At 46.1% G+C, this 13,399-nt stretch overlaps 1 protein-coding gene across 8 annotated transcripts in view; it reads right to left on the bottom strand.

Annotated features, from left to right (window-relative positions):
• SLC24A4 (solute carrier family 24 member 4) overlaps positions 1 to 13,399 on the bottom strand; it is a 178,901-nt gene that overhangs the window by 87,677 nt on the left and 77,825 nt on the right. Inside the window, exon 1 of one of the 8 annotated variants that reach the window (XM_005267342.2) lies at positions 5,371 to 5,420. The exons of the other annotated variants lie outside the window; for them this stretch is intronic. The gene's annotated coding sequence lies outside the window, so the exon portion shown is untranslated. Of the gene's footprint in view, positions 1 to 5,370; positions 5,421 to 13,399 lie in introns of those variants that run through there. 8 annotated transcript variants of the gene reach the window in all.

The following is a 13,399-nucleotide window of genomic DNA, read 5'->3' as shown; positions in this document are numbered from 1 at the left end:
CGTTCTGCCTTAGTTTAATATTTGTCTTCCACCAGCTGTGGTTCTGCAGTGCTGTGTTCCTATACAACCAGCAGGTCTGTCCCCGGAACGGAAGGAAGCTGCTCCCAGCCCAGATTTTGACTTTCAATCTTTCCAACAAGCACTGAGCGTGTGGCATCTACTGGGAGGATTTGTGCTGAGGGCTGCAAGGGAATATGGATAAATCAGGCAACGTTTGCAACCTACGGAGGAGGGGGAAACAGATGTGCAGCTAATGGTGACTGTAACAAGACACATGCCGTGGGGAGAGGTTTAAATGGAGCTTTAGTGGAACGCAGAAGAGGGAACAATTAATTTCTAACTCAGCAAAGATGATTCAGGGAAGAGCTGGGAGATGGGAGAGTTGGGCTCAGGATTTCCTGGGAGACATCCAGGTGGAAAGAGAGACACTTTCTAGGCAAAGGAATGAACTGGATGCTAAGGCAGGGGGGCGGGAGGGAGCCCAGGAGACTGGGAATTCTGGGCAGGTGTTCTGGGAGGTGGGAAGGCCGCAATGGGAAGACTGGAACATGGGATTGGAAGGATCAGAGGACACCAAGTTTCAGGATAAGGACTCTCCTTATTGGAGAGCAGCAGCAGATCGCTGAGCAAAGCAACGACAGGATGAGAGTATCTTAAACCAACAGTTGGCAAACGTCTTCCTGGAAAGAACCAGACAGACAGTAAATATTTCAGGCTTTGCGGGCCATATGGTCTCTGCCGCAACTATTCAACGCTGCCGCTGTGGCATGAAAGCAGCCGCAGATGAGACATAAACAAATCGGCATGGCTGTGTTCCAATAAAACTTTATTTATGTTCACTAAAATCTGAATTCTCTGTCATTCTCATGTGTCATAAAATAGTATTCCTTTTTAACTTTGTCCAATCATTGAAAAACGTAGAAACCATTTTTGGCTTGCAGGACGTATTCCAAACAGGTGGAGAGCTGAATTTGACCCGCAGGCTGTAGTTGATTGGCCCTTACTTTAGAAACATCAGGCAGGGTGGTGAGGCGGTGGGAAGGAGCAGGACAGAAGCCTCAGGTAGAAGCTGTTGAAGTAACATGGAAACAGAGAGGAGGGGATGATGTAGAGATGCTGCGGCCCCCTGACCCGCAGGATGGAGGATGGGCGTGGTGTGGAGGGAGAAACCTGTGGTCTCCAGCGAGGGGGATGAGGGCATGGTGACACCATGAACTGAGATGGGGACAGGACATTAGAGGGGACAGGAGGGCTGTGGGCTGTGGCCACACACCCTGTGCCCAGGAGGACAGAAGCGTCCCACCAAATGCAGATCAGAGCCAGATCACACCAGTAGGCTACTCAGAGTGCGGGGCGTTGACAGGGTTAACATCAATACCTACTGTTTTTGCCTGTCTGGCACCCTAAAACCCTGGTTCTCCTGGGGGGAACTGCCCTTCCCCTGTTCTCATCCATATGATTTGGGTGGGGCTGGTCCCACACAAACAACCAAGACAGTTCCAGCTGAGAGACAGCAGGCTCTTGGGGCCACCAACTATAGATGCGTTTCGGGTAAGAGCCTGGGTGCCTGGCCCCAGGTTCAGCCACAGACAAATGGTCCAATGTGAGTCAATCCCAGGAATTTTGCTAGACCTTTTTGAACACGTGAGGCTTTCTTCCTGCCAAACCCCAAAGTGGTAAAGTGCAGGCTTGTACATCTCAAGGCCCCTCTGTAGAGGGAGACTGGCTGGGGAGGAAGCCAGCATGGAAGAGAGATGAGCCGATCCTGATCCCGCCATGCCCACAGCGGGCCCCGGACTTCTCAGTTCAGGAGCTGATCACCTCTCATCTTTTGCTCAGTCCAGGGTTTTTTTGTTTTGTTTTGTTTTTTGGTCACTTGCAACCAGAAGTCCAAACACACTCAGCAACTGTTAGAACATGCCCCAGAGGGCAGAGGTCTTAACCTTGGAATCATGTGTGACCCAGTTCCTACCTTAGAAGATTATTTGACAGTCTTGTCCAAAGCATTTGCATCTGCCTTATTTATCTCTAGACAGTGCCCCTTATATAGAGTATGTGCTCAATCATTGCTGGTGTGGGAAGGAAGGCACATAATCCTAGGGAGCCTCACACACTGAGCTACAGGAAATTCTAAAAAGAAACTTCAGGAGACAATATGGATTTCTCCTCCTCCTCCACCGGCCAAGGGGTCAGGGAAACCATGAACTACAGGGACTTGGTTCTGTCTCATACAAACAACCAAGACAGCTCTGGCCGAGAGACAGCGGGCTCTTGGGGCCACCAACTATAGACGTGTTTCAGTAAGAACCTAAATGAAAGAAGGGAATTACCTGGTCTCAGAGATGGTTAGGAAAGGGGCAGGTCTCACACTGGGCATGGAAAAATGTTTGCTATTAGCAGTAACTCACTGGGAGAGAGAGAAAATGAGCACTGGAGCTCTGGCTGGGCTTCTCAACCCTGATCATGGGGTGGGTGGGAGGATCTGGGGAAGTAGATAGACAGCTTGGGATTCCAGGCCAGTGTCCTCAACAGAGGCTCCAGGATATTCAACTCAACGGTGAGTTTCCATGCACTATGAGCACAGAGATGCTGATTAATGGGCGGCTTGCTGGCAGAGTGAAGGGAGCACTGCATGGGAAGTCAACACGGGGGATCTGAGTCCCAGCCCCCATCCTCACCAAATGCCTGTACTCCCTCTCTGGGACCTGATTTCCTCATTTGTAACTGAGAGGGCTGGGCCAGAGGCGTGATTGTCAGTCTGAGGGGAGAGCTCAGAGTGTGTCCAAGAGGTGCTCAAATCCATGCTAATGGAAAGAACATGACATGAACACACTTCCCACGGGTATATGCATCAGGCAGGTGTAGAAACTTGTCTTTGGATGAATTTCTATGTTATCAATCCAATACCAAACTTGCAATAACGCTTGGTTATTCTGCTTTATCTATGTGCAATTCACCACATCCAGATGAGAGGCACTCCACACCTTCATCCAGAGACCGCAGAGGCAAGGCAGACCTTCCCTGCCTGGGTTCAAATTCTTGCTCTACACTTACTGGTGGTCTGGCCTTGGGCAAGGTTTTTCACTGTGCCATGTCTGTTTTCTCTTTGTAAAACAGGCATTGTATTAGCATCTACCTCTTAGAATTGTTCAGAAGATGAGGTGAGCGGATTATGTAAAGGGTGTGGGAGAGGGCCTGGCACACAGTGAGGGCTCAGTACAGGTTTGCTATTCCATGTGATCAATGATACCAAAACTATGACACTCTCTCATGGGCATCCATGGTAATTTTTGCTTTTAAAAGGTACCTTACAAAACTAGGCTCTGGCAAAGTATGGTGGTTCATGCCTGTAAACCCAGTGCTTTGGGAGGCCAAGGTGAGAGGATCGCCTGAAGCCAGAAAATTGAGACCAACCTGGGCAACATAAGAAGACTCCGTCTCTACAAAAAATTTAAAAATTAGTCAGGCATGGTGGCACACCTGTAGTCCCAGTTACTCAGGAGGCTGAGGCAGGAGGATCACTTGAGCCCAGGAGTTTGAAGCTGCAGTGAGCTATGATTGTACCACCGCACTCCAGCCTGGGTGACAGAGTGAGACCTCATCTCTCTTTTTTTAAACATTTATTTTAGGTTTGGGGGTATGTGTGAAGCTTTGTTACACAGGTAAACTTGCGTCACAGGGATTTGTTGTACAGACTATTTCATCACCCAGGTATTAAGCCTAGTACCCAATAGTTACCTTTTCTGCTCCTCCCACCTTCCCCCCTCAAATAGACACCAGTGTCTGTTCCTTTCTTTGTGTTCATGAGTTCTCATCATTTAGCTCTCACTTATAAGTGAAAACGTGGTATTTGGTTTTCTGTTCCTGCGTTAGTTTATTAAGGATAATGGCCTCCAGCTCCATCCATGTTCCCACAAAAGACATGATCTCTTTATTTTTTCATAGACATGGCTGCATAGTATTCCATGGTGTATGTGTTCCACATTTTCTTTATCCAGACTGTCACTGATGGACATTTAGGTTGATTGCATGTCTTTGCTATTGTGAATAGCGCTGCAATAAAGACTTGTGTGCATATGAGACCTCATCTCTTAAAAAAAAACCAAACAATCCCAAAACTAGTCTGTGTTGTCACCAGTCAGGAGAGTGGTTGCCCTATCCTGGGGAGCATGTTAGGGAAGACTGGGGATACTCCCAGTCTGGTAATATTTTGTTTCTTGACCTGGATGCTGGTGACATGGGCACGTCCACTTTGTGAAAATGTACTGTGTTCTTTCCCATAGGTATGTTATCCTTCAATAAAAAGCTCTAAGAACAAAGGAACTCTTGAACACAAAAGACAGAACATCATCAGCAGCTGCACAGCTCCAAATGGAAATAACACTGAATGCGCTGCCTTTTCCATCCCTCGCTCCCAGGCAGCTCCACCGTCACTACGCTTCAGAAACTCAAACAGCCTCCAGCTTTGCTCAGCTTTGCAGGAAGCATGGTCATTGGGACTTGGCTCTGACACTCCCCTCCACACCTCCTTCCCTAGGTCCATTCTCCATCCAGTTGCTCAATATCTCTTCCTCTCTGGAGTTGTGACATCAACTTCCTGGACCCCTTCCTGGCCTCGGAGACCCAGAGCAACTGGAATGACTGAGCTTGGAAAGGTCTGAGGAGACTGAACTTGACTCCATGTTGGCTGAGGAGCTATTTTCCACAGGCCGTCCTGACCCAGTCCCACCTCTTTCTATAGAAACCCCAGCCAAAGCCCAGCTCAACATATATGGCTCCCTCCCTTCATCCTGCAGACTCAGCCAGGCAGTCCTCAGGCCAGATTTCCTTTCCCACACCTTTTCTCTTTCAGAAAACTCCAGCTTCTAGGATGTTCTATGTAGTCTGGACAATCATAACTTGTAATTCACAGATACTGAAATGAAAGTTCCCCACAACCACTGAGGAAAGGATATTCATAAATAAATCTGCCCTACTTCAACTTTCCACCAGGGAAACTTCCTGTTGGGGGAACAAGTATAGATTAATTTGCTTCAGAACAATGGAGAAAGTAAAACAAATACTGGTGAACTCCAGTAGAGAAATAAAAAAAATCCACATTTGTAAGTCATTATCTTATTTAATCCTAATTACTACCTAGAGGGTAGATCTCATTATGTCTATTTTGCAAATGAGAAAACTGAGGCTGAAAAAAGCTAAGTGACTTGCCTGAGGCTATTCAGCCTGTAAACAGGACAGCCAGAACCCATCCCCAAGCCACACAGACCTGGCTCCAATCCACGGGAGGTTTTCTACCTTGGCTCACTCCTCACAGCCATCATTAAAACAATCAGCCCACCTATGAAGGCTTCCAAGGTAAAATAAACTCACATGTTTGCAGAGATAGGAGAGCTTTAGCTGCAGTTGCCAACACACAGGCACTTATTGCTTGCTATTCTGGGATGGTCAAGTAAATAATGAAGTAAGCCATTTCCTTAAACAGATAGGCCCAGAAGACTCAATTTAGCCACAACAAACACAATAACAGATTCAAATTCCAGGTCAATTTAGTCATCCCCTTTTTTCCCTTCTATCCTGACTTATTCCCCCTTGTGGATGTGAAACACACACACACACACACACACACACACACACACACTGCTGTAGCAACAAGCATACATATAACCATATGAACATCCCATGACAATTCAGCACTTTCAGTTATTGGAAATAATTTCTATCTGAATCCACACTGGAAACACACCTGGCCAAAAAATAAATACACACACACTCACACACACACTGCTGTAGCAACAAGCATACATATAACCATATGAACATCCCATGACAATTCAACACTTTCGGTTATTGGAAATAATTTCTATCTGAATCCACACTGGAAACACACCTGGCCAAAAAATAAATACACACACACACACACACACACACACACACACACACACACACAATATCACTCTGTAGGCAGTGTATCTGATCACCCTGTGATATGGTTTGGATTTGTATCCCTGCCCAAATCTCATGCCGAATTGGAGGAAGGGGCTTGGTGGGAGGTGACTGGATCACAGGGGCAGATTTCCCCCTTGCTGTTCTCATGATAGTGAGTGAGTTCTCATGAAATCTGATCATTTGAAAGTCTGTGGAACCTCCCCCTTCTCTCTCTCTCTCTCTCCTGCTCCACCATGGTAAGAGGTACTTGCTTCCCCTTTGCCTTCTGCCATGATTGTAAGTTTCTTCAGGCCCCCTAGTCATGCTTCCTGTTAAGCCACAGAACTGTGAGTCAATTAAATCTCTTTTCTTCATAAATTACCCAGTCTCAGGTGGTTCTTTATAGCTGTATAAGGATGGATTAATACAGAAAATTGGCATCAAGAGTGGGGTACTGCTATAAAGATGCCTGAAAATGTGGAAGCAAGTTTGGAATTGGGTAATGGGCAGACGTTGGAACAGTTTGGAGGGCTTAGAAAAAGACAAGAAGATGTGGAAAAGTTTGGAACTTCCAAGAGACTTGTTGAATGGTTTTGACCAAAATGCTGACAGTGACATGCACAATGAAGTTCAGGCTGAGGTAGTCTCAGATGGAGATGAGGAACTTACTGGGAACTGGAGTAAAATTCACTCTTGCTATGCTTTAGTAAAGAGACTGGCAGCATTTTGCCCTTACTCTAGGGATCTGTGGAATTTTGAACTTGAGATAGATGATTTAGGGTATCTAGCAAAAGAAAGTCCTAAGAGCAAAGTGTTCAAGATGTGGCCTGGCTGTCCCTAAGAGCATACAGTCATATGTGTTCACAAAGAGATTATCTGAAATTGGAACTTATGTTTAAAAGGGAAGCAGAGCATAAAAGTTTGGAAAATTTGCAGCCTGACCATGTGGTAGAAAAGAAAAACCCATTTTCTCAGGAGAAGTTTAAGCCAGCTGCGGAAATCTGCATAGTAAAGAGGAGCTGAATGTTAATAGCCAAGACAATGGGGAAAATGTCTCCAGGGCATTTCAGAGACCCCCCCATCACAAGCCTGGAGGCCTAGGAGGGAAAAGTGGTTTCATAGGCAGGGCCCAGAGCTCCCACTGCTCTGTGCAGCCTCAGGACATGGCACCCAGAGTCCCAGCAGCTCCAGCTCCAGCTGTGGCTAAAAGGGGCCAAGGCACAGCTCAAGCCCCTGTTTCAGAGGATGTAATCCCCCAGTCTTGGCAGCTTCCACATGGTGTTGGGCCTGTAGGTGTGCAGAAGACAAGAGTTGAGATTTTGGAGCCTCCGCTAGATTTTAGAGGATGTATGGAAATGCCTGGATGTCCAGGCAGAAGTCGGCTGCAGGGGTAGAGCCCTCATGGAGAACCTCTACTAGGGCCATGCAGAGGAGAAACATTGGGTTGGAGCCCCCATACAGAGTCCAAACTGGAGCACTACCTAGTGGAGCTGTGAGAAGAGGGTCACCATCCTCCAGACCCCAGAATGGCAGATTCACAGAGAGTGTGCACCGTGCACCTGGAAAAGCCACAGGCATTCAACACCAGCCGTGAAAACTGCCACAGGGGCTGTACCCTGCAAAGCCAGAGGGACAGAGCTGCCCAAGGCCATGGGAGCCCACCCCTTGCATTAGTATGCCCTAGATGTGAGACATAGAGTCAAAGGAGATTATTTTGGAGCTTTAAGATTTAATGACTGCCCTACTGAGTTTTGGACATGCATGGAGTCTGTAGCCCCTTTGTTTTGGCCAATTCCTCCCTTTTGGAATGGGAACATTTACCCAATGGCTGTACCCCCACTGTATCTTGGAAATAACTAACTTGTTTTTTATTTTACAGGCTCATAGGCAGAAGGGACTTACCTTGTTTCAGATGAGACTTTGGACTTGGACTTTTCCATTAATACTGAAATGAGTTAAGACTTTGGGGGACTGTTGGGAAGGCATGATTGGTTTTGAAATGTGAGAAAGACATGAGATTTGGGAGGGGTCAAGGGTGGGATGATATGGTTTGGATTTGTGTCCATGCCCAAATCTCATGTCAAATTGGAGGAGGGGCCTGGTAGGAGGTGATTACATCATGGAGGCAGATTTCCCCCTTACTGTTCTCATGATGGTTCTCATGAGATCTGATCGTTTAAAACTGTGTGGAAGCTCCCCCTTCTCTCTCTCTCTCCTGCTCTACCATGGTGAGATGTGCTTCCTTCTCCTTCACCTTCTGCCATGATTGTAAGTTTCCTTAGGCCTCCCAGTCATGCTTCCTGTTAAGCCTGTGGAACTGTGTGTCAACTAAACCTCTTTTCTTCAAAAATTACCCAGTCTCAGGTGGTTCATTATAGCAGTGTGAGAATAGACTAATACACCCTGCAAACTAGTTCTAATGCTATAATCAACCTTTGCTACTGTATGCCACTACTGGAGTGAGGCTCATACCAGGTAACCCCTGCCTTGCTATCCTAATGACCCAGAGTCAGGAGCTAATGGAAGAGTTTCTACTTGATTGTTCAGTTTTACCTCTTTTTTACAAACACAAACAGCTCCTATGGCCTGTTCTTAAATTTACCCATCATTTCTCTGGTGGAGATAGACTCCCAGTTGGAGGGCTAACCGATCAACCTGGTCTGCCTGGCTGGGCAGACACCACTCCTGGGACAGTGAAGAAAGGTCTGCAATAGATGAGTCAAGGGCACAGAGAGGTTAGGTAACTTACCCAAAGTTGCACAGCAAGTAGCAAAGTTGGGGTTTGTACCCAGGCAGTCAGCAAGTACTTCATCACTACACTGTGTGGCCTCTCTTTTCAGGGAGGCAGATATGTACCCGCCTATAACACCAGGAATAGTATTTTTTTAAAATCTATTTCTTTTTTATTTTCATTTAAATGTATAAGACTTATTCTTTTCTTTTCTTTTTATTTTCACCTAGTAGGTATTTACTGAGGACCTATTATGTGCCAGGACTAGATGATAGGAATAAAGGAGAGGACAAGAGAGATGTGATCCCTGCTGTTACAAAAATTACATAATGAAGTAAGGGGTGGGAGTGGAGAGAACGTACAAATATTTAAGATCCATTCTGATAGTTTCCAGAGCTTATGAAAAAAGTAAAGTTGGCATTGAGATACATATGTGTGGCAGAAGAGTGAAGGGGAGTGAAGGGATGCATGCTTTAGATGGGGGTGGTTAGGAAGTGCCTCACTAGGAGGTGTTATTTGCACAGGGACCTGAATGACCAGAAAAAGAAATCCATGCAGAAGTCTGTAGGTGGAGGATATCAGGGACAAGGAACAGCCAGGGCTGACATGCTGCTGTGTTGGAGAAAAGGAAGAGGCCCAGCAGTCTACATCTCCTGCCAGTGTGCTGGAGCACTGTGATGGATGGGGACTGGGGGCTCAGGGAGGCAGGAGAGGTAGACTGCTGGGCCTTCATACATGGGGGATGGTTAGTCACAAAGAGGAGTTTGAAATTTTGTTCTATTTGCACTATAAAAGGTCTGGACAGTTTAAGCAAAAAAAGTTGTGTGATTTGATTCCTCTTTTAGAAAGATCACTCTGGCTGTCATAAGAAGAGGCTATAGTGAGGGAAGAGCAAAAGAAAGCAAGACCAGCTGGGCTATGCAATAGTCCAGCCAGAGACGATGGTAGCATTAGATCATAGCGACAGATGCCAGTGAGACTTAGGGTAGATGCGGAGTCAGAGCCGTAGCTTCTTAGCAGCAGGGAGGTGAGGTTATGTATGCCACTGTTAATTCAGTAAGACTTACTCTTTTCTAACACAGTCTGTAAATTGAGGCTCTGGCAAGCCCAGAGTGAAGCCTGTTCAAAAATCTTCTCTAAAAATGCAATTCTTCTCAGAGAAAAAGAGCTGTCAATCAATTACAGATGAGTATAAACTAGCCCCATCCGCTTTACCTCTTAACACTGGGCATCAGCAGCACTGAAGTGAGTGACTGGGCTGAAGAGATGTAAAACATGTAATGTAGGAAAACAGCATATGTGCCAGGGTGGGGGGGAGGGGCAGTGCCCAAGGAGAGGGTTTAAGCAGAATCTGTAGGGAAGCGCATTAGAAAGATGTACAAGAAAGAATAAACAGATGAGAGATGCCTACTTTGAAATATGGTTAAAGGCTGGCCCTAACTGTATCTAGAAGGGGGGAAGGCAATTCTCCCTGATTTCTGAGGTCCGGGTTACAGACCTCAAGCCTCAGCCAGTCCTCTCAGAGCTTTTTTTTTTTTTTTTAGATGGAGTCTCGCTCTGTCACCCAGGCTGGAGTGCAGTGGTGCAATCTCGGCTCACTGCAACCTCCACCTCCTGGGTTCACACAATTCTCCTGCCTCAGCCTCCTGAGTAGCTGGGATTACAGGTGCCTGCCACCATGCCCAACTAATTTTTTTGTATTTTTAGTAGAGACGGGGTTTCACCATGTTAGCCAGGATGGTCTCAATCTTCTGACCTCGTGATCCACCCACCTCAGCCTCCCAAAGTGCTGGGATTACAGGCATGAACCACCACGCCTGGCCAGTCCTCTCAGAGCTTTAAGTCTGTCATCTTGAACTAATTCTGTGTGCGGGGATGCATGACTGTATCATGGCCAAGAAGGTAGGCTGTTCCCCAAAGATTCACGCTGCCCTTCCTCACTTACTGCTGAGAAGAGGCTGCTCACCCAGAGGACTTCGTCAACCAGATCACAAGTGCCATGCATCACCTCTGCCTCAGTGCTTCAGAAGCAGGTGTGTCTTCTCAACTCCCTGTCCCCTTCTGCAGGACCTGAAAGCCACCTGTTGAAGATGGCAGAGCCCCAAGACAGAAGAAGCATGGGTCCTTGGGTCCCTGGTCCCCACCTGGGAGGATCTCTGCTAAACATGCAAGCTGGATGGCTGTGGGAGTGAAAAATAAACTCCTACTGGGTGAAGCTACTGAGATTTCAGGGTTTCTCTGCTTCTGTTGGGATGTGATATGGTTTGGCTGTGTCTCCACCCAAATCTCATCTCGAATTCCCAGGTGTTGTAGGAGGGACCCAGTGGGAGGTGATTGAATTACAGGGGTGGGTCTTTCCTGCACTGTCCTCATGATTGTGAATAATTCTCACAAGATCTGATGGCTTTATAAGGTGGAGTTTCCCTCCCCAAGCTCTGTCTTTGCCTGCTGCCATCCATGTAAGAAGTGCCTTGCTCCTCCTTGTCTTCTGCCATGATTATGAGGCTTCCCCAGCCATGTGGAACTGTAAGTCCAATTAAACCTCTTTTCTTTGTAAATTGCCCAGTCTTGGGTATGTCTTTATCAGCACCATGAAAATTGACTAATATAGAATGGTTACTCTAACTCATCTCCAAAGGAATAACATTTTCTGATTTTTCAAGCTCTCAGAATGGTCTTGAAGCAGCTGCCTATATTACCTGGCTGGAAGTTTTGATCATAGTATGTGGACCACTCTAGGTCACTTGAAAGAGCTGGGACAATCTCCATGGCTGTCACCAAAAATATATACCCGAGAAGAGGAAAAACTTTAGGCTATTGATATATAAATCAATGTATTTCAGGACAATCACAATTAGAAAGTGGATGGCTTTCCTAAATTAAGTTGTAATCCCACTTAGCACTCAATAATCCTGCCTGCCTCACGGAGGTATTTTTAGAAGCCACGGGAACCAAGTTTATGTCTTGCTTTTGACATGAGGCTTACTTCTTCCAGCAAATATTAATATTGTTCAGCTTTGCCCTGGTACTTGAAACAAGAGTAGAAGTTGATAAATGTTATCTGAGGACTGCAATCAGCAAGCTCGAAAGTGCAAACTAATATATTCCATCACTTTTATGAGCCCATCATCGAGGAAATCAGGTAAAGGGCTTAGATACATTTGAATATGTTTGTCTCGTATTTCTTTTACTCTTACTGACATTGGTGTTCAGAGGAAAACAAAGAATGAATTTTGCTATTGGTGGGTTTATTTGGTCTTTGTCTGGTCTGGACACCAAGAAAAGGCTGGAGCATTTGGTAGGGGAGGGCAGTGAGTGTATTAGGACTGAGATGCCTCCCTGCCCCCAACACTACATTCCTAAACTACAGCCTGGCTGGGCAGACACACCTCAGGGCACTGCGGAAACAGCAGCAACTCATGTAGGGGACAGAGAGGTTAGATAACTCGCCCAAGGTCACATGTGAAGGAGCACATTAGCGATTTGAACCCAGGCAGTCTGGGTGTAAAACACAATCTCATTGCCACTCCACAACACTGCCTCTCTCTGCTCAGGGGAATAGTCTTCCAAAGAGGGGCCCTTTGTGAACCACTGCATGACTCTTAGGCACATGGAGGGTTCCTTCTAAGTCCTTCTGTGCTTTGCACACACATGCACTCTGGCCATTATCATGATGTACTATGGTTGTTTCTCTGTTCATCTCCACATTTAGGCCATACTAGCCCACAGGATGCCAAGAAATAGAAAAAGTCTTCCTCAAGACATTTTGCTTCCATTTGCTGGAATATTATCATACTAAAGAGACAAATAAACAATGTCTATGGTTTGAACAGCACCTTCTAGGATTGTGCAGTGCACAACCTGCACGGTTTTTCCATTTGGTGCCCTCCCCTATCTACCAGCACAGCAGCAGGCACACAATGGGGCGCAAAAAATTCTTATCGACTTGATTTGCAAGTGTTGCTGGCTAAGTCAACTCTAAGAGGCAGGGGTTTTCAGACTCTTCCTTATGAGACAGGGGGATGAGCTGTAGTCTTTTCTCTTTATTGTGTCCTCCTGCCTTGCTGGTGGAGAAGCAAGGACTGCCAGATACTGGGTGCCTTGTGTGTATTCCCCCCTCTCCATGAAATGAAGACACTTTCAGAAGAATCTCTTTCACTTCAGCTTTCACTCTCATTTCCTGATTTTTCCTCTCAAGCAAAAGCACATGTTGAAATTTATCTTCTGCCTTTCGTCAGTAACTCTTCAAACATGCTTGTTTACACCAGGCATCAACAGTGTTGACAAAAGCTCTTTCTATCTTGCATATGCAAAGTATGCATCTCCCACAAAACACCAATGCTTACAGAAATAAACAAGAAAAGGCAAAGATAACAGGGGACCCACGTGCTTAGGCTAGTTTCAGACCTGTCAGAGGGAACCAAATGAATTAACTTCCTATCATTGCAGCTAATTACGACATGGTCTCATCTGAAAGAGGATTACATTCTCAGTTATAATTACTCAATACTTTCCCAGAGAGGGATGGGCATGCCTAACTGGGGTTCAAAGTCAAGGGTAAAAAGAACCGTAGTCCTGCATGCCCCAAAGAAGGCGACTGTGTCCAGAGCTTCTTAGTCAATCCCTTATAGATCTTCTCTCCCTCATTTCACTGCACTCCGGCTGTGTGTATGTATTTTTCCCCCAACTCTTTTTTTTTTTTTTTTTTTTTGAGATGGAGTCTCGCTCTGTCGCCAGGCTGGA

This window comes from Homo sapiens, chromosome 14, assembly GCF_000001405.40.
Source record: "Homo sapiens chromosome 14, GRCh38.p14 Primary Assembly".
Taxonomy (NCBI): Eukaryota; Metazoa; Chordata; class Mammalia; order Primates; family Hominidae; genus Homo; species Homo sapiens.
This window is presented reverse-complemented; position numbering and strand designations above follow the sequence as displayed.